At 42.3% G+C, this 21524-nt stretch overlaps 1 protein-coding gene across 11 annotated transcripts in view; it reads right to left on the reverse strand.

Annotated features, from left to right (window-relative positions):
• Positions 1-21524, reverse strand: part of PTPRT (protein tyrosine phosphatase receptor type T) — a 1158017-nt gene that overhangs the window by 735957 nt on the left and 400536 nt on the right. For all 11 annotated transcript variants that reach the window (XM_047439848.1, NM_001394024.1, NM_007050.6 and 8 more), the window contains exons 4-5: positions 12372-12453; positions 3589-3704 (exon numbers count right to left, since the gene is read on the reverse strand). In XM_047439848.1, the coding sequence (XP_047295804.1) occupies positions 3589-3704; positions 12372-12453 (198 nt within the window). The remainder of the gene's footprint in view (positions 1-3588; positions 3705-12371; positions 12454-21524) is intronic.

Genomic DNA, 21524 nt, shown 5'->3' on the forward strand with positions numbered 1-21524 from the left:
ATAACATAATTTGTTATATGTATAACATATAATTATACATAACTTAGGATAACATATAATTACATATAATTATGTTACATGATATATATTATAACATACTATATATTATATATGAAAATATATAAAATTATACACACACACACACACACACACACACACACACACACACACACACACACTGCTTCTCTGGAGAACCCTGACTAATACAGCCTACTTCCAATTACCTGATTGCACATAAGCCTGGATTTAACTAGCCACACAGGCATTTGTCAGATGGCACGATATAAACTGTGTACCTCCCAATATTTTCTGAAATGCAGATGAGACAGACAATATTTAGGGAAGTTTCCTTGAAAAAATAGTTACTGAATCTATTCACTTACCAGATACGTTTCAAGTGCCCCAGGATGGAGACAGATTGGCAGAGAGCAGGGGACTCTGCCATAGCCTCTTGCCCACTTCACCCCTCTCTCCCCCTTCTCCTCCCCAGACTGCTTTCTCACAGCCATCATGATGTGAAACAGGCCTGTGAAACTCACTTGTGTGCCCTCAGTAAGACTGTGGTGGGGAACATTGTTCATTGCATCATACAGTGTTTTCTTCACAGGGACTCCTGGGAACAATTCCTGTCTGGCTTCTGTGTGAACAACAGGTAGAATTTTCCTGAGCAATTGGTTTTTGTTTATCTCACAGACATTGTGAACTGTGTATCTGACAAGTTTCCTTTATTCCACTAGTGGCTACAAAGCTGCGGGCTCTGTGTGTGACCCACCAGTTAGTAACGTGTGCAGAAATGCGGTTTTCGCATTATTACCAGCTCTGTGTATTTTCTCCTTCTATCTGGTGTTGTCCCACTTTTAATTTATGATATCTTGTCATGTTTTATGTCCCATTGAAAGCCACCTGGAAGACGTTTTGTGAAATAAGATTTGGTTTACATTGAAAAGGAGATAAGATGTGGAAGAGCTCCATGTCATGTGTTTCCATCTGTTTTCTTCAAATATTCAGTTATGATCTCTTTAACATCCTCCCACTGACAAACCCAAGGTTCAGGGCATGCAACTAAGAACTGCCACAATAACGATCATAAAATAATTGGAAAACCCAAACAAAGTTGCTGAAAATATTGTGATGGTCCTGCCTCATTCTCATGACCCAGCTGAGGCAATGCCATTGAAATCACACAGCTTCTTGGCAGCCTAATACACTTGAACACTAATCGTAATGAAAAGAGTAAATAACTCTACCGAATACTGAGGTGACGTGGAGGTTTCTTATGCTCTCCTGTGGTCTGTAAGCAACCCTGGGAAGCAGAAAGAACAGGTATTTCACGCTGCTGTGCTGCTATTTGCACTCTGCTTGCTGCTAAGTGGCAAGGAAGAACTGTTGGTCCCTAGATGGGCTCTTTATGCCCAAGGATTTTTCTAACCACAGGAAATGGCTTAAATTCAAGAAAAGAAGTGACAACATGAACTTCCAAGAAAGTGTGTGGAGAGACAGCTAGGCAAAGGAACACATGAAAATATGTTCAGTATCATCAGTCCTCTAAGAAATGTAAATTAAAACTATAACGTGCTCCCATTACACACCTATTGAAATGCTAAAATTAAAAAGACTGACCATACTGAGTGCTGGTGAGGATATGGAGCAACTAGAACTTTCATAGACTGCTGGTAGGAATGTAAAATGGTACAACCATTTTTTCAAACAGCTCGTTGTTCTTTAAAGTTAAACATATATCTACCAGATGACCCTGCCATTCCACTTCTAATTCACTTTCATACCCAAGAGAAATGAAAGAATACGTCTCTACGAAGACTCACACATGCAGGCTCCCAGCAACTTCTTTGTAATAGCCAGAAACTGCCAACAACCCAACAGGTATCCATCAACAGGTAGATGGATAAACAAATAGTAGTATATCCATTCTATGAAATATTTCTTAGCAAAAGTAAGAAATACTGTTACACACAACAACATAAGTAATCCTTAGAATAATTCTGTAGGAAAGAAGGGTACATACCGCATGCTTCCATTTATATAAAATTCTAGAACATATAAGCTAATACATACTGTCAGAAAGCAGATTGGCGGTTGCTTGTGACAAACGGGAGTGGGGAAGTCAGAAGGAAGTGATTACACATGGGGACGGAACTTTGGACGCCATGCAAATATTCAATATCTTGATTGTGGTAATAGTTTCACATGTAAACATACAAAACTTATCAAATTATATACTTTAAACATCACATCTCAATTATACCTCAATAAAGCTAGTTAGAAATAATTTTTTGAGAAGGAGTTTCAATCTGGTTGCCCAGGCTGGAGGGCAGTGGTGCGATCTCAGTTCACTGCAACCTCCGCCTCCTGGGTTCAAGTGATTCTCCTGCCTCAGCCTCCCAAGTAGCTGGGATTACAGGCACTCGCCACCACGCCCAGCTAATTTTTCTATAGAAATAATTATTTTCATGTCAAATCACCACAGCCACATGTAGTTAGTGGTTCCTGCACTGAACAGCATGGCTCCAACTTCTGTGCTGCCCCAAAAACTTGCTATTTGTGCTAGTATTAATGGAAGTATGCTAATGTTATAACAAGTTACGTTTTAGTTCTATGTGTCGCCCTCTGTCCTAACCCCCACTCAAAGAGATCCTTTCTCATCTTTCTTGGAAAGTGGGATGAACAAGCAGAAATAACAGGAAGGCAAATTCAAGCTTCAAACACTTCCCTGATGGACTTTACTAACGGACTTATTTAACCAAAGAATAGACAGATTGCTCATTTTAGTGAAAAATTCCCATAAAAAGCGACTCTCTAATTTTACCCAGAAGTACCAGTGAATCACTGGATATCCAAGAACCTTCCAGTTAAGATTACATGACAACCACGTACCAAGAACCTAAGCTATTCCATTTGCCTCAGCCCTAGTAATCTGCAATTAAAAGACAAAGTTTGTTAGAGGGTAGTTGGAAAAGGTCATAGTTACAAATTCTAGTTCTGGAACTTTTAGGTTTTGGTCTGGGTTTCTGCATGTATAAAATGGTTATACCAATGCCTGACTAGCAGAATCGTAGTTAAGATTTAACAAGATCATAGATGCAGGGCACCATCAGAGGAACAGAAGTACTTTAAAAATCTCCCTTCCCTGTACACACCAAACCATTCATCATAGCACACACTTTCTTCCCTTATCAAGGGATAAGACAGCATCGTTAGCCCAAGCTGCCCCATTTCGTAAACTCACACCATTTTGCAAATGCTGGTTAGAGCAGAAAATTCCGCAGGGGTTTGGGCCATGAGACACATCCCGCCAGACAAGTCCCAGGCCTAACCATCTGACCCCAGGAAACTCCTCACTTACCAGCGACTGACCACACCACCCACCCCATCTCACAAGCCCAGACCTCTCCCGCCTGGACCTATAATTACCCCAGTTTGTAAGCAAGGGTGGGCTCCGGTGCTAGCTGTTGTCCCCCTCTGCATGTCTTTGTTCAATACACTTGTGTTGCCATAGAGCTGCTTCCTTCCAGTCCTTCTTTTCCCTTTCTCATCCTAACGAGTCTGAGCAGAGGCTTCTCTCATGCTTACCTGGAGCCAAAGCTTGTCATGCTGAGACCACTTCCCACCAGCAATGCACTGAAATGTGGCATTCTGCCCCACATTCACCTCCACGTTTTGGAGTCGCAGAAAATGAGGTGCTTTTCCTAAGAGAGAAACCAAAGAACACAAGAGAATGAGATTCGACAGCCTGCACCACTTCCCTATTGGTGGATGGCAGCTCAGGATGGGCACTGGGCAGGGTGGAACTGGCACTTAAGAAGTAGCCCGGCTCAGTCAAGATTTCATTGATCACTTATTATAAGTCTGGCACTGTTCGAACTTTACACGCAGAATCTCACTGAAACCTCACAGAAATCCATGAAGTGGGCAGTATCCCCATTTCACAGATCAGAAAATTAAGGCTCTGAGGGTTTACGTCATCATTTGGCACAGACACATATCCAGAGGGGGAGGGAACCAGGACGTGAATTTAGATCTGTGCTCTGTGAAATTGGCACAAACATGCCTAGAATACACCCAAACTGATCATTGCTTCTGGGGTTGGCATTGCACAAAAGGTGAAACTACGACACTGAAAGTTAAAAGAAAAATTGGGGGGCAGGAGGGGTGTATTCACCATAGGTGATGCTTCCCTGTAGCCTGAAGAAGCAAAATAAGAAAGCTGAAGTGAAGCACCTTTGGGCCTGATACCTGCACACTTGGCCTGGGTGACGATGTTGATGAGGAAGATGATGAGGAAGACAAAGAGCGGAAGAGGGAGGAAAAGGGAAGGAAAGCACTAGTAGCTGTCATTCTTAGCGCTTGCCATTTGATAAGTACCACATGCAGTGTCTCTCTGCAGTAACTCACTTAACCCAATGCAGTCAGTAGTGTTATTTTCTCTATTACACAGTGAATGAACTGAGGCACAGAGAACTCTAGAAACGTGCCCAATATCACAAGACCCCAGAGTCTTACTCTGTGATGGTGCTTTCTGAGCATGAGGGGGAGCGTTGATTCTAGGGACTGGACATAACAGGGAAAGGGTCTTTCAAATGAAAATCAGGGTGTGTATGAGCAGACAATCTTCGGATTAAGTCTATGTTTTATATTGGGTAACCTGGTTTCATCTCTTTCCTTTTTTGTGGAGAAGGGTCCTCACCTACCTGCACTCTACAAATAATAACAACAGTAACAGCTCTCCATTGGCTGATAAATTGTATCTAGAAGAATTGGTTTCTTCATTGAGGCACAATGAAGGATCTCTATGCCATCAATCAAATCAGTGATGAACTGGGATCACCCCCAGAATGGAAACAAATGGAGGGTTAGGAGAGGATCAAGGAGGTTTAACAGGAGGCTTTGGCCATCTTTCTACAAGGAGTCAAATACACAGAGAGACAAATAGTAACAATAATGTCATTTACTGAGAGCTCCTACAATGCCAGGTACTATGATAAATGCTTTGCATGCTCTATCTAATTTAACTTCATGACATTCCTATAAAGCAGACACTATTATGATTTCCCTGTTAGGCAGAAATCAAGGCTCAGCAAGTTTAATGTGCTGAAAGCTACACAGCGCTAGTGAAAGACAGAAACAAAATTCAATCCAGGTCCACTTTAGCCCCAAACTCAGCATGTAACAAGCAGCTATGCTCCCTTGCCTCCTGGGCACTGGGAATGAGGATGGTGTCTCCAGATAGACTCCAGGGTCTGCAGAAGGGGCTCCCAGTCAGGGCTGTGCTGATGGTTCAGGTTTCTGTCCATGCTCCCAAATATTTTATTAAAAGTGACCCCTTTCCATGCTATTTTTCCTTGATTTGAACTATTTTGTCTACCAATCTGTGTCAGCACCTATAAAGCTCAGCAAAAGCCAAGAATCTTGGAACAATTAGGCAGACTTGTTGGGAGAGCACTGGGCAGCGTGGAATTGGTGCTTGAGAAGTGGCCTGGCACAGTGAAGAGTTCATTGATCGCTTATGATGAGTCTGACACTGTTTGTAGGACTTTACACGTCATATCTCACTGAAACCCCCAAAAAATCCAGGAAGTGGGCAGTATCCCCATTTCCCCAATGTACTTTTACTCAGGTTTTTAAACTAATGACAGCAGCTCAGAGACCCCTCAGGCTACCTTTGAGCCACCATGGCTGGTGTGGTGTCAAGGACCCAAGGCCCGGGGAAAACCACCTCTATGGGCTTTTCAGAGTTGAAAATTCCTGCATCTAGTCAACTTGACAAATGCCATGCTGCTCTGATTGTCTGAAATTGTTTCCTTTTGGCTCTCCTGTATAATTTTATGAAGTTATTTTTGGAACTATCAGTTCAAATCAATTCTTAAAATGGGAATAGAGTGAACCTTGGAAGCCTGTTCATGCCACAGGCTTAAAGGGGGAGTGAACACATCCACCCCAGGTGGGGAGGGAGTGCAGAGTCTTAGCTCCAATGCTGGGAAACTCTGTGTTTAGTTTTACAAAGAAATGCTCTTCCCTTACCCTTCGAGAAAATGGTTTAACCTCTGGGATATGCACAATTAGCAATGAATCTTTTCTGGATCAATGTCCCCAGCATGCCTCTGACTCCTCTCCACTTCTTCCTTCTCAGCAACAGACCTTTTGCCTTGATTCTTTCATCTTCAATTCCTCTTCTTCCCTTCCTTCTAGGTTCAGTGGTAGAGAGTTTAGATGTTTAATGGCTCCTAGTGTGAATATTCTGGGGAAATACTGGCAATTTACAGCAGAGATAATGAACGCATGCACCTACAAGAGCCAGTTATGTAAATTAATAAAGTCGTTCAGCTGTAAAACAAAACAAAAATACCACCTCCTTGCCCCATCTTTTACTTTCCCACTTTTGATAGAGACTTGAGAAAAATAAAGATTTCTTTATATAAGAAAAGCAATGTTGTAAGCACAATAACTGGTATCCACCAGTAGCCTCAGCACTGAGGAGACAATAAGGAGTGGTGAGGACTGGAGGGAACTGGAGAGAGACTCTGAAAGGGGACACTGAAAGGGGGCAGCTCCTACTTAAATTCAGCAGAGGAAGGCCAGGCATGCATGCTTTGTATAGGGGTGTCAAACGTCTGATTTCTCCAGGCCAGTAAGAAATCCAGACTTTATATGAAATCTCTCACTCTAAACTCAACATGTTATTAAAACACAGTACAGGCTTAACAAAACATGTGTACATGCAGGCTCTATCAATCTGCGGTCCCTGATATGTAGCTCTTATGAAAGTCCTCTGCAACAATTTCCACTAGCCAGTCTCACCCGATCCAGCCCCATACATTCAGGGATGCCCCCACCACTCCATGCGGTACGCGGTGGGCATCACATGAAGGCCAACCCCGAGTACAGTTCCCAGCACAGGAGCTGATCTAGGCTACCCTCTTCTTGCTCAAGACCCTTGTCTCTGCTCCTTGGGGCTCTGGGTCATCCTTGGCTCATGACAGGCAGTGCTCTCTGGTGATTGTGCTTATGTGGGGGGCCTGTATGGTCCTCTTCCCTGCGTTCCTGGCCTCTCTGACCCTCCTTTTTCCATGCCCCCAAACGGCCTGCTCATCAGCCGCAAGCTCTCTCAACTGTCACCTTCCCCCAGCATCTGCTGCTCTGGGAGAGAACTTATATTCCACGAGCTTCAAATCACTCATCTTCAGCCAAACATGGTTGACCTTGGTACCCAGGTCAGCCATCGGCTCGTGGTTCTAAGCATTTCCTACTCACTCCACACTGAGACCCAATTCCCCCCAGATGGGATGCCACTGAATGGGCTTAACAGAAGACTGGCTGTGCATTTGGGGCAAAAATGCCTTGACGTTAGTGACATTTAGACGCCTACAGATGTCAGTGCAGCATCTGAAGACATATTATTGTGCCCTTTATCTTGCTCTTTAAACCTGACAGTGCTCAGTAGGAAGCCACACAATTGTGGAGAAAGCCCAGTACGCACATTAGAAACATGTTGCAGATGCTCTGTGGGCTCGGGGACACGGCCCCACAAGATTGTGAGGGAGAAAGAAAAGTCAACTTAGAAGCTAGAAACTTTGAAACGGAGTGGAAAAATCATACTGACATTTATCTTACACAGTTATAACTGCCTTGGCCCTGCTAATGGCTAACACTGAGAAACAGCAACAGAGGGTAACTAAGGATAGAATACTTTTAGAATAACACAAAAATGTTAAATGGGCTATAAAATATAGATGAGAGGCTTCCGTTTGTAAGAGAAAATAATTTCTTTGAGTATTATGCCTGTCTTTTGGTTACTGTTTTGGGAGCTTGGAGGCAATTATCTACAGTTCTAATTTCAGTGCCAATCAATTGAAGATACAATTGCAAATCAGTCACTCGCTCCCTGGAACTTTTGGAATACTTAGTGGAATCACTTATTGATAAACTCTGACCATATGTTAATAGAAAATATGTTTTAGAGGACAGAAAGGGATAATTAAAAAGACTTTATGTCCACAGGCTTTTTTGAATTGAACGCATATATTTCAATATAGTTCAATTTTTAACCATCTATGAGTGAAGTCATAAATTCTAAGACTGGAGGCTGGGGAAAAGCACCTTTAGTCTAAAGGAGAGTTCAGAAGCTACTATCCACTTGCATGACAGGTAATCCCTGTAAGCAGTCCCTGGGGCCCACAGGGCCCCTCACCAGGCAGCCTGCTCAGTTCTTCCCAGGCTCTCACCACCTTGCTTAAGCTACAAATCTGTGAGTGCACTATCTCCGATGCCTGACTCTTAATCCAATTTATCAAATGAGACCAGTTGGCTCTGCCTCCTAAATGGATCGCTAATCTCTGCACCTCTATCCACCTCTATGCTCTAAGTTTCTTCATTGTCCTGCTCATAATTTGTCATGGTCTGAACTGTGTCTCCCCCAGATTTATCTTTTGATATATGACCCCAACCCCCAGTATCTCAAATGTTCCTATTTTTAGCAGCAGGGCCTTTAAAGACATGATTAAATTAAAATGAGGCCTTTAGGGAAAGCCCTAATCCAATCCAATCTGACCAGTATTCTCAACAGAGGAGGACATTTGAATGCACCGGGAGACACCAAAGGATTGTAAGTACAGAGGAATGACCATGTGAAGCCTCAGCAAGAAGGCAGCCACCTGCAAGCAAAGAAAGAGCCTCAGGAGAAACTACGGTGGCCAACACCTTGACCTTGAACTGCCAGCCTCCAGAACTGTGAGAAAATAAAATACATTTAAGTTGCTTAAGCCATCCAGTCTGAGGGGTTTTGTTATAGCAGCTTTAGCAAACTAACGCACTGTCTGTGCATATAATTATATAATCATATCATATAATTATATAAGCATATCATATAATTATATATGATATGCTTATATAATTATAAATGTATATATGATATATAAATGTAAATTATATGATTATATAATTATTTATATACTATAACTCACATTTATATAATATATACTTCTATATAATGCTTGTACAATTATATAATATATAGATTATAATAATATAATCATATAATTACTTTATTTGTTTTGCTTCAGCCTCCTTCACTTCAATAGAAGTCCATGAAGACAGACAGTCAATCTGTCTTTCTCACTCCCACAAACCCAGAATGGTGCCTGACATGGAGCTCACGCTCAGTAAATACTTGTTGGATGATGAATGGATGTCTCTCAGTCACCCTGGTGCGGGCCACCACCACCTCTTGCATGGCTCCAGAACTTTCTTCCTCCTAGGTCTCCCGACATCTTCTCTATGGTCCTCCAACACAGAGCAGCCCAAGTGACCCTTCTCCAGCAGCACTCCCTGCAGCAGAGCCTCCCTGCCCTTAGACAAACATTTAAACTACTCACGATGCTGCCCAAAGTCCAGGCTTTCCTGCCCAACATTTGCCCTGACCACCTTCTCCTGTGCCCTGTATGCTCAGGACATGCTGGCAGCATCAAGCCAACTCCGTGTGCAGGGCCTCTGCAACCACTATCTCCTCTGTCTGAAGCACCCCTCCACCAAATCACTAGACTGTGAACTCCCTCCTGTGATTTGAGTCCCAGCCCAGGTCACATTTTCAAAGATATCTCCTCTGACCACTATATCCAAGCAGCCCTCCCGTATCCCAGACACCGACACTTACTATATCCACTATTATTTTCACTATCTGAAATTTCTGGTTACTTAATATTAGTTACTGATTTAGTGCCTTTCTTTCCACTGGCTCTTCTGCTAATCAAACACCATGAGTACAAGGACCGAACCTTTCTTAGTCACTTAAGTATCACTGTGCCTAGGAAAGTTCTTAACACATAGCTGATGTACAATAATTTACTTGCTGAAAGAAAGAATAAAAACCTGGGCTAGGTATGGACTGAGCACTGGTCCTTAGGAAAGGGACTTTGCTAGGCCCTACTCAACTCCACATGATTCGTGAGCTGTGGATATACCTCAGGCATTATATACATTGCCAGTATTTGTCCATATAGTTAAGTGAAATTTTTTCCAATTCCAGCCACTCCTATGGGGTCTTCACATCATGCTTTCTGGGAAGTTTATGCTTAAGCTGCCTCAACACTGAGGTTGAACCCAACAGGAGCACATTATGCAGACATAAAGCCAGGATCACGCCTTCCTGAGTTATATCCCATGGTCCATTTGCTGGGTAACTGGCTTTCAGCAATTTCATGACCATGCCACCCACACCCCTCTGCAGGAGGAGGATGAGGTTGTCAGGAGAATCCTGACTTCAGGAGCAACCCCAGTGAAACGAGAATTTCAAAAGGATTCATGAGACTTTGGGGGGTGGAAAGTCATTCCAGTGCCCTCCAAAGAGCCCTCTCCCATGGAGATTTATCAAAGAAAAAGGATGCATTTGCTTGTGACAGCAAACCATGGTCAGTGCTTGGAGGTAAGGCAGAGCTTTTACCACTCTGGCCTTGAAGGTAGTTACGGCTAGGGTAAGAGACAGGTGTCAAGGTTGGGCATCAGGACGGAGATGAAAATTCCCATTAGAGCACAAAGTTCTGGGATCCAGGTAGAGAGACTCATGCTATTTTCCCTTGGGAAAAGCCAGCTGTCACCTACTAGAAAGCTAAAGTCCAAGCATCCAGCACAAAGTAAGAAGCAGGAACACAGGTAGATGTGGCAGAGGCAAGCACGCTCTGAGTGGATGGGATGTAGGCAGGGAATGAGGAAGACAGAAGGCATGTTTCAGAGAGACTACCTCGAAACTGGAGGTAGTGCAAGATTGAGCGCATGCAATTAAATGGACCACAGGTAGCACAGACATCTCCCAACACAGTTGCCCAGTCTTAGGCTCATTCTCAAATGAGCAGCTGATGGTGACTCCCACGAGTCCAGGGTGGGGAATATTTCACCCTAGTGAAGGAGATTCATATGCATATCTACTACATAAACCCTGCATAGCTGGGGGGATTTCTGGGATCCTCTTCACATGAAGTCTGGGTCAATAGAAACATTTCCCCAGGCATGACTGAATGACAGACCCATCTGAGAAATTCTAAAAGCCTCAGGAAGTAACCCAGAGGGTAGGGACTTTCAGCCAGTGCAAAGAAGAGCCCAGTAGCATCTCAGCATTCCCAAGATACCAGTTGCTTCTTGGGAAAGAGGGTCTCTCCTGCACAGGATCCAAACACAATTTCTCAAAATAATGTTCGGAACTTGTAATGTGTTCCAAATTCCTCCAGAGAAGGGGCTCTAAGACAATGAGTCAGACAACGGCATTCTAGTGCCAGGCAGAGGGAGGGAAGTTACATTTGAGGGTCTGACAAATTCATTGCAGCAGAAGTGGAAAGAGTTATTTCAATTAAAGCAACATGGATGAGGCTGAAATGAGAATAGTCCCTAAATGCGAGGATTGAGAAGCACATAAGGAGAGGAGGACCCATGATGTCTCTTGAGGCAGCAGCAAACTGCACCATAGCCCAAAGCATGACTCATGCCCATATGGGAGGAGTGGAGAGAGCCCACAGGGGGTTACCTAGAACTGGATGGCTGCCAAGAAACTACTGGGAATCTCCAATCTGCAGAACACTAACAAACTCATGGGGCTGGCATTCCAGGTATCCCTCCCAGGGTCTGCCATAATCTCCATGCAAATCAGTTTGATTTCAGTCCCCCCAACCAAATGTCACTGGGTATGATGTCATCTCAACTACCTGTACCCAGGACTTATGGCCTCTGAGATTTAGTAAATCCAGAAACCACATCTCCCTGCTGAAACACATTCCAATATCTGAGACTAAATATGGCAAAGAAGTAGATGGGTATGGAGGAGTGCCACGCCTTTGAGGACTCTTGACGCTGTACCATAAGTACTAACCACTATGAGAAATCTCTATGCCTACATGGAGCTGATGAGTATATTTAAAATTATTTTAAAAGAATTAATAACTTCAGGGTACTTTTCCCTGTGAGGGAACAGTGTGCTAATTTGCTCAGTGTTTTGGTGGTGGTGTGTTTTTTTTTTTTTAAGACAATTGCACAAGATTCTATCCAAAGCCCTCTAATTCTACCACTTCAGTGGTCTGAATCCCACTAATAAACAATCAGGACTTTAGACTCCCTTAATAATGGAGAGAGATTCAAACAAAGATGTTTTGCCACTCTCTGCAAATTCCTGGAGGTGCTGCCTGTTGAACAGGCCGGCAAAATTATGGATTTATTCAGGACTGATTGCATTGAGTATGTAAGCATTTCTGAAGGATTCAAAGAGAAAGAGAGAGTGAGAGATGTTTGTAAGCTGAATGAATGGAAGGGATTGCAGGCTCTATGCTACCCAGTCTGGCATGGATCAAGGCTGTGTTGGGAGGAAGGGAAAGACTTACTGCATGGATGAGCAAGGACCCGGACCTCGTCCACGGCGATGTAGCCAGGATGACCCTTCAATGAGACGGATTCAAATATCACCTGCAACACACAGGGCGGGAGTCAATTTCACAGAAACAGTTGCAGGCATTCATCACAAGAAGCTGCCCGGCCCCCAGCCCTTTATGTTTCAACTTCCCATCAGAAGCAACCCAAGAAACCTTCTGTTAAGACAGCACGCTACCCTGGCAATTGACTGGGATTTTCAACACAAGGTAAAAAGGCCACACTTTGGTGGCTAGCAAAAGAAGAATATTTTTAACAAATTTCAGAAATAACACTTAGATGCAGGAAAAACAACCCAAACACCGAGGTCTCGGAAACCCCAGTCTGCATCTTTCTCATTGCAGCTTCAAGGGTCAAGCCACAACTTGACCATTCTTCTACAGAGAACTACTTTCTAATATTCCAACTTTCTTATGAAGGATAAGATAGATGCCTACCTTGGAAGCTACCATAAGCCAAGGAGGGTTTACCATGAGTTGATTCTACATTGCCAAGGAACATATTACATTTGAATCTATAATAACACTCTTAAAAATAAGTGGCAATCTACCTGTTGGTATCCAGGAGTAGAAGGCAACTGACTTCCACCTAAACTGCTATTTCCATAAAAATTTTGTAATGCATTTAGCTTCCCTCATCACTCAACCTCTATCTTCACCAAGGAGATATGAATGTCTGTGTGGATAGCATGGCCAACATCCTTGAACTCTCTGGTTCCAATGGCCTTCTTCAATCCACTTTAGCCCCACTTTCACCTCATTTTTCACCTTCTGGAAATTGGAAATTCCATTTTCCCATACTCCGGCACAGTCTCTACCGACAGTCTCATCCCAGTTGACTCCTCTTGACCTGCTCCTCAGGCTCACGTGGTAGCCTGGACCTCTGCTTTTCTTATCTAATCCTTGGATTATTAATGCAGAAGGTCCAGGCTACCATGTGAGCTCCTCAGACTCCATACGAGTCTCTCCTAAAGCCCCCATTCCTTTGCACCTTTATTTCAACTTTGCCCAGCCTATAACACATTTGCCTTCTCCAATCCTGTACCTTACACAACTGCCGCCCTTTCAACATGCACCCATGTAATCCCAGCAGACACCCACATCTTCAAGAGGCAAGAGGGAAAGAGGGGCTGACTTCTAACTTTTTACCCACTGACTTGATATCCATCCACACCATCCCCTGCCTCTTCTTTGCAAGGAACATCAGCGCTCTTGACCCGGACTCTTGCTATATTTTCCATCTTTTGGATTCTTTTTGGTTTTCTCTGTCTACCCTATATCTCCAAACCCTCCCTTTTATCCCTAATTTTGACATGTCAACAGCTTCTCCTATTCTTTAAAAACTACCCTTCAGCAGCAGGTTTTCTCTAATACCATCCAGTTGTGTTTCAGTAACACTTAAAATTCTCAGCAGTTTTATCTTCATTGACTCCCAACACTTCCTGACTTTCCACTGCAAAACTTTAACCTAATATGATCTGGAACTTCCCCTAAAACTGCTTACACGGAAGATACTAATAATCTTCTAATTGCTTAATCAAGTAGATATTTTCAATCTTTATCTTACTTTAAGAAGGAAGATAGTACAGTGCTTAAACTCTTGTTCCAAGTGCCTAGGTTCAAGTCCTGGCTGTGCCACTTGCTAGTTAGTAGTCCTGGAAAAGTTATGTTACTGCTCTGTGCCTCATTTTCTGCATCTTTAATTATAGTGTCTACCTCATTGAGTGATTTTTTAGATTAAGGGAGTTAAGACCCCACTTAGAACAATGTATGGCACATGGTACATTCTCAAGAAATATTTACTAGAATTATTATCACAACTTGACCATTCTTCTACAACTGTCAGTGTTCATAGACTCTCCATTTCTGGGTCTTTTTTCTATTTAGGCTCAGATAACACTTTATTCTTGTTATTTTTCTCATAAATCTGGCACTGTTCAATGCCTGGGAGGTCTGTAGGCATTCCTCCTTCTCCATCTTCCCTTCTAACGTGGGCCCCTGTTAGTCATCTTTTCACTGCATACACTCTCCCTTCAACAGCTGCCAATGCACTGATAACTCCAAAGCCCAGCTCTGCACCCTAGACCTTTCACCCACACATCCGTCTTAGGTGTCCAGGTCACAGATCTGTATTTCTACCTAGGTACCACATCAATGACGTGAATCCAACAGATCTGCACAGATTCCTCCTCAAACCTTTTCCCTCATTGACCAATAGTCTATTCTTTCTGAAATACGGAATATGGTTAAGTGGCACTATGACCCATTCAGTCACCCAAGCTGGAGACCAGGGTGTCTATTGGGCCTCAACTTCTGCCTCAGCCCTCATCTTCATTTTCCTTTTTATTCTACCTTATTAGCATTTCTCAAATCTTCCCATGTCATACATCTCTGAATTGTATGCTATAAGATAAACACCTAAAACAGAATGACTGCACAACATTAAAAAGAACAAGTTGAAGAAAGACATAATAAAGAAATGCAAATAAACAGAAAGCAGTTGTTGCAAAAATAGTGTGAAAACCTTGAAGTAGAATTTTAACTGAAAAGAACAATGAAAAAATTAGGTGGACTAAAATGGTCATTTAGAAAAAACACATGAGTCAAGGGACTTAAGTGAAGAAAATGATGAAAAAGACATGGGTTGAAGACTTTAATCTATGTCTTAGACTTTGACTACTAATCGTATAGGAAAAAGCAAGTATATATAATGTAAATAATAATGTATTTCCTAGATACATGTTAATAAATGTAAAGACAGAATGAAACTTCCATTCAAAGGCTTATGGCTCAGTTGCAAAAAAATCATATACTAGGCTACAATATAACTTCAATAAATCCCTCGAAGAAGAAATTGTTTAGCTTTGGGCCTATACATTTTCTAACCAAATTCACTACAACTAGAAATTAGTGACAATGTCTTAAAAACCAATTTATTTAAAGTTACACAATGCTTTCTTAATAACTATGGTGTCAAGTGTGCTTTGTATGTTAGCAAAAATCTAAAACAAAATTAAAAGTCAAATGACAGGTTGAGAATAATATTTGTAATACCTATGTCAGCTAATATGAAAATATCCTTTTTTATGTGTAAAGGACTCTTGAGAATCAACAAAAAAAAAAACCCAAATCATTCAAATTAAAAAGTGGCAAATGACTTCAACAGGTAATTCACAAAAAGAGGAAGTAAAAATGGTAATAATCTATGAATGTAATTGTGTAAAATGACACTGAGTATGATCAAAAGGTGCCCCAGAAGACACCTACAACCTTGGAGGGAGATGATCACTCCATCAATATGCTTCTGACGTGAGACTCCTAGCCATAGGAAGCCCCACCCAATAGATAGCCAGCTCCAGTTTTTAGGGACAGACACCACAAGGGGACAAGGTGATGCCTGGACCCTCAGAGATGGAAAGACCTGCCAAGGTGTTCTGAGGAGAGGGAGAATGGTTATCTCTGACCCAAGCACACTCTCAAGAAAATTCAACCACGGCCCTTGAGGAATCAAAGTCAGGAAATGGGAGAGCCAGGGGAGTGAGTAGAGAAGTCTAGAGGTGACTCTGGTGCAGTGTTTTCCTCCTGTCTTCAGGAGGCAGGGGAGTAGGGATGGGATGTCTTCAGGAGGCAGGCCATGCATACCCAGTGGCACTCCAAGTCAGTAAATGGAGGCCGAGACCCTGAGTACAGGGAGTGGAGCAGAGGGCCCAGGCTGAGAATTCCAACGTCTCTGTAGATGCTCTTCAGCTCCAAGGCTGCCATGTGGACCTACCATCTATTGCACATGCTCCAGCCCATAGGCTTCATTAGAGACCTCCTGGTGCGGGTGTTGAAGAGATGAGGCTTGCATGGAAAGGTGAAAACCTCTCCCTGTGCATGACTACTTGTGCAAAGCCAGGAAGCAATTCCCCACAAGAGGCTCTGAGATGAGTCTTGCTCATCCTTCCAAAAAATGGTTTTTGTTCATACTTGGAGGAGGGTGTGGATATGTCAGGCCATGGTTTAACAGACCTGGTGTTTTAACCTAATCTTTTATAGTTCTTGAGCAGAAAATCTGCATGGCAAAAATTTCAAGGGGCTGCAAACATTTTCAGGAGAAGAGAAAAATGTTGGCACATCAGAACTCCTCTTAGAACATAAATATACATGTTTTCATGGGGAGAGATTGTTTAGGGTAAAATTAAGAGAGACTTTTTTTACCCTATCAGCCCAAGGAGACCTGTATAAGACAAGGAGGAGGATTTGATGCTTAGTGGAGAGAAGTGGGATGGGTAAGGAAGCAGATGGAATAGAATTCCAAGAGTGGTAGAGTGGGCCCCTCATTGTGATAAACTCCACTTCATTGTGAGTGAATTTACTAAATCTACAGAGTGCCACATAGCACCGTTTTCCAGGGAAAGGGACTGAGTTTAAAGTCCAGTTGAACCAAAGCTGGGTGAGTCCTTAATTTCAGGGGCCTATATAGCGATAATAACTACCAAATAAAAGATAATTTTTCCTAGGCAGGTGATGGAGACTAGGGCAAGCAGATGGCTGCAAAATTAACAGAAGTTCTTTTATTTTTTTAAATCTTGAAACAGAAAATTCAGAATCATTAGAAAATATGAAATCAAATTAACATCACCTAGAAAGGAGCTGTGATCTGAAGTACACGTGACTTAACAGTCATTCAGCACTGAGTGGTGACCACATTTAATAATAATATATTGTGCATTTCAAAATTGCTGAAAGAATAGATTTTTTTAATGTTCTCACTATACAAAAAAAGTTAAGTTGGTGAGGTGATGGATATGTTCATTAGTTTGACTAAGTCTTTCTATAACACATGCATAGATCAAAATATCACACTACACCCTCTAAATACACACAATTAATATTTGTCAATTAAAAGTAAATAAACAAACAAGCCCCTGCTTTCCCAAGAAAAGGCACATGTCGGGAGATGGCTGGCAGAGGCAGGTTCTCACCCCCGGCCTTGCCAAAAGTCTGGTGCCAGAAAGCTCACTAATGAGAAAGAGGAAATTTCAGTGTTTATTACAGAGCTAAAAGTCAATTTTAGAACTATAAAATACGACTTTAATAAATTAATACATAAACCATCAGCTCCGAAGCCCAGTAATTTGTATTTAGCCCATAGAATCATATGTACAGGACCAGAGCTCCAGGTCTGGTGAATTTTAAAACCCATTTTGCTAGTGTCATTGGATTTTCTGATAGGCCTCCTTTTCTTGCCACTGTACTTATGTGTATATGTGCAAGTATGTTTTGAATCTGAGAGTCTTGTGGGTGCTTGTCCCTATGTGGGCACTCTGCAGTGTTTGTGGCCAAGTGAGTAACCATTAGTGACGGTGTGTGTATAACATCTCTCTCCAAACTGCTGCTCTCAGCCAAGGAAATGCAATGAGGCTGTAGTAGCCAATAAGGTGCAAATCAGAAAATTCTCCCAGATGAGGCTACTTATCCAAGGGAGGGCATGGAGGTTACTGAGTACAGGCTTAACAACACTGGCTATTTCTTTTAAAAAGGCTTCCTTCCTCCTTCCCCTTTGTCTCTTTTTCCCTCTTTTCCTTTTTCCCTCCCTCCCTTCCTCCCTTCCTTCCACTGAGGCCCACTACAAGCCTGATGGCATGGTTTGGCTCTGTGTCCCCACCCAAATCACATCTTGAATTGTAATCCCCATAATCCCTACATGTTGAGAGACGAACGTGGTGGGAGGTGATTGGATCATGGGGGTGGTTTTCCCCATACTGTTCTTGTGATACTGAATGAGTTATCACAAGATCTGATGGTTTTATAAGTGTTTGACAGTTCCTCCTTCACAGGCTCTCTCTTGCCTTCCACCATGTAAGATGTGCCTGCTTCCCTTTCTGCCATGATTGTAAGTTTCCTGAGGCCTCCCCAGCCATGTGGAAGTGTGAGTCAATTAAACCTCTTTTCTTTATAAATTACCCAGTCTTGGGAAGTTCTTTATAGCAGTATGAGAACAGACTAATATACCTGACATGATGATACATATATGTTCTCTAATTTCATCTGCAGAAGGTCCTATCATACCTAATATCCTCTCCATTCTACAGATGAGGGAACTGTGATTCTGAATGATGACAGGATACAGCTAACATTACACAACTAGGAAGAAGATTCTCAGAAAGTGCAAGCTATTTTCCCTAAAGGCAAAGCAGAGCTTAGAGCCAGAGGACCTGGGATGGATCATGGGGACTTGAATTTACCAGTAGTGCTTCCTACGCTGGAAGATAGGACATGTTGCCACCTAATAGAGGGAGCTACTGCACAGATCTCATGCCTCTCATAGGGTGTGAACATAGGGGGTACTCCAGAAATGTCCTTTCCCCCCATGCCTCATCCAAAAGCATGGCAAATGGTATGACTGTCCCTGTACTCAGTCAATTTTCTTGTTCATTGTACTTCAACCTGTGGCCCCATCCTGTACCCATTTGTGTCTGGTCCTATATATGGGGTTTCTAATTGAAACCTTAAAGGCTCACTGACCGTGCCCATGAGCTTTTAGAGATACTTTATGTCTACAGTCAATGATACAGTGGTGACAGTCTAGGGAGTAGGGTATCTGGGATCTGCTCTCAGCTTTGCCAATAATTTGTTACGTGTTCTTGGACTTCACTATGCAACTCTGGACATCATCAGCTTTATCATGTACATCAGGGTTCAGCTATGGCCTGGAAGCCAAATCCAGCCCACCACCTGTTTTTGCACATAAAGTTTTGTTGGAACACAGCTGGGTCCATTCATTTACATATTATCTATGACTGCTTTCATGGTACAATGGCAGAATTGAGTAATTGCAATAGAAATTGTATGGCTTGTAAAGACAAAAATGTTTTCTTTCTGCCCTTAACAGAAAATGTTTGCCTTATCTACAAAATGAGGATAAACCTAAGCCACATGTGCCAGTATGCATTCTGTAAATGTCTATGGATAGGAAGACTATATAATTTATCACTGAAACTGGGGCACACTATGAAATGGATGCTCTTAATTTCACCAGGATAATGGGAGTAAACCAGGGTTGTCCCAGCAAACTGAGATGTAGGGCCACCTGTCTGCAGAATACTATCTCTATAGTCAGGTGGTCATCCAACAAAAAGAGGGCCAAGATCAAACTTAGAGGCAAGACAGGAGGTTAAACACCAATAAATGGATTTCTTTCTGACTCCTCAGAACTCCCACGTGGGTAACTGTGAGTCTCCTAGAACCGAATACATCACACAGCTTTTTCAAAATGCTGTGACCTCCACCACATCAGCCTTCACTACAGAGAATCTCGGGGAACACATGTTCCACAGAGCACACTCTACAAATCATACACTGGGTATTCTTCCCAGAATGTACAAGCAAGATCTGATCCCCTTGTTCACGCAACTGTGCAGGTAGAGAATATAAGGCTATATGCTTAATGCAATTCTGAAACCCCAAAAGCTCTGAAAACAACGTTCTTCACCTTAGTATTATAAAAAGTAATTTGGTGGTAAAACCTGAACACAGCCGAATGGCCTGATACTACTTACAGTCTTTATTTATCCCATTTCTTGTGAGTGTGTGTAAGTTTTGCTGTAGAAATATTACATTTGATTACAGGGTACTGCCTCAGAGCCTACCAGGGTTGTTATAAAATACAGAAGATATGCCAATATATTACTAATATATTACTAAATTCCAAACATTGTGAATTCTGACACATATCTGACACCATCAGTTTCAGATAAAGGTTTGTACTAAAACATATTACACAAAAGGAAAAGACACCGAAGTAAAGAGGCCAAAGATATATAATTTGTCTCAAAACATCTAGGATACAACACGTCACGTTGTTAGTGACACGTGTTAAAAACAAAGGACTCTGCTTTTAGCCACTTTCATTCATAGGTTCCTGCTGTTGTAAAGAAGGGAACAGGGGCTTAACCTCACACCAAATGACAACAGTCCACCCTGACCACCCCAAGGCCAGCTCTGTCCCACTCACCTCTGCGTTACCAATGCCTGAACTGGCCTGGCTCACGCAGGATGCAAAATGACTGACAAGCAGATGAGAATAGGGAGCGAGTGGCTGAATGATGGTGTGATGAGTTCTTCCAAGAATTTACTCTCTCTTTTTCTCTTTTCTTCTCTTTCTCACTTCCTCTTTTATTTCTGCTCTCTTCCTAACTTTCCTTACTTCCTGCCTCTGGCTCTTGGTCACCCATGGGCAGGCCAAGGAGATGAGGCTGGGGGAAAAGCAAAGGAAACGTGGTCCCAAACAAGGCTACTTAGGTCCATCTCCCAGGCTGCTTGCAGATCTCCAGGATTGCGGGAGTCACCTGTGCTGTTCGACAGTCATTGCCATTATATCTCATTATTTACTCCTTTAAGTCTCCTGACAAAGAACCCCAAAATAAAAACCTTAAGAAAACCCTCAACACAGACCAAGGCATTACAAGAGATAGCTGCGGGATTCTCCAGCAATGGAGGATGAGAATGAGCAGAACCAGCACCTCATAAAGGCCAGGTCCCTTCTGAGAGCCCAGCCTTGGAGTTACCCCGCTTCATCTCCCCATCCACAAGTTCCAGGCGTGGCTAAGCCTTTCAAGAACTCTACTAGGGGAAATTGTGGAGCCAAGTGGTTAAGAATTATGATCTGTACTAATTTGACAACCACGAGCTACTGAAGCGTGGCTAATGAGACTAGGAAACTGAACTTCTCATTTTACTTAACTTCAGTTACCTTACATTTTAATTTAAAAACTGATACCCAATTCACTTAAGAATGTTTGGAACAACTTGTGTATATGTATCCACTTCTTCAGCTATACATTTTATGAGTCCAAATACAGATCATTATTACTAATGAAAATAAAACATTTAAATTGAGACTTACTGTAAGTGTAAAATATAGACTGAATTATAAAGATTGACAGGGAGAGAACAGAAAACATCTCACTAATAATTGTTTAGATTGATTACATGTCCAAGTGATAGTATTTTGGATACGTTGGTTTAAGTAAAATGTATTACTAAAATTAATTTCACTGATTTCCTTTTACTTTTTAATGTGGCTACTAAACGTTTATAAATGACATGTGTGGTTCCCATTAT

The sequence above is a fragment of the Homo sapiens genome, chromosome 20, assembly GCF_000001405.40.
Source record: "Homo sapiens chromosome 20, GRCh38.p14 Primary Assembly".
In the NCBI taxonomy this organism is placed as follows: domain Eukaryota; kingdom Metazoa; phylum Chordata; class Mammalia; order Primates; family Hominidae; genus Homo; species Homo sapiens.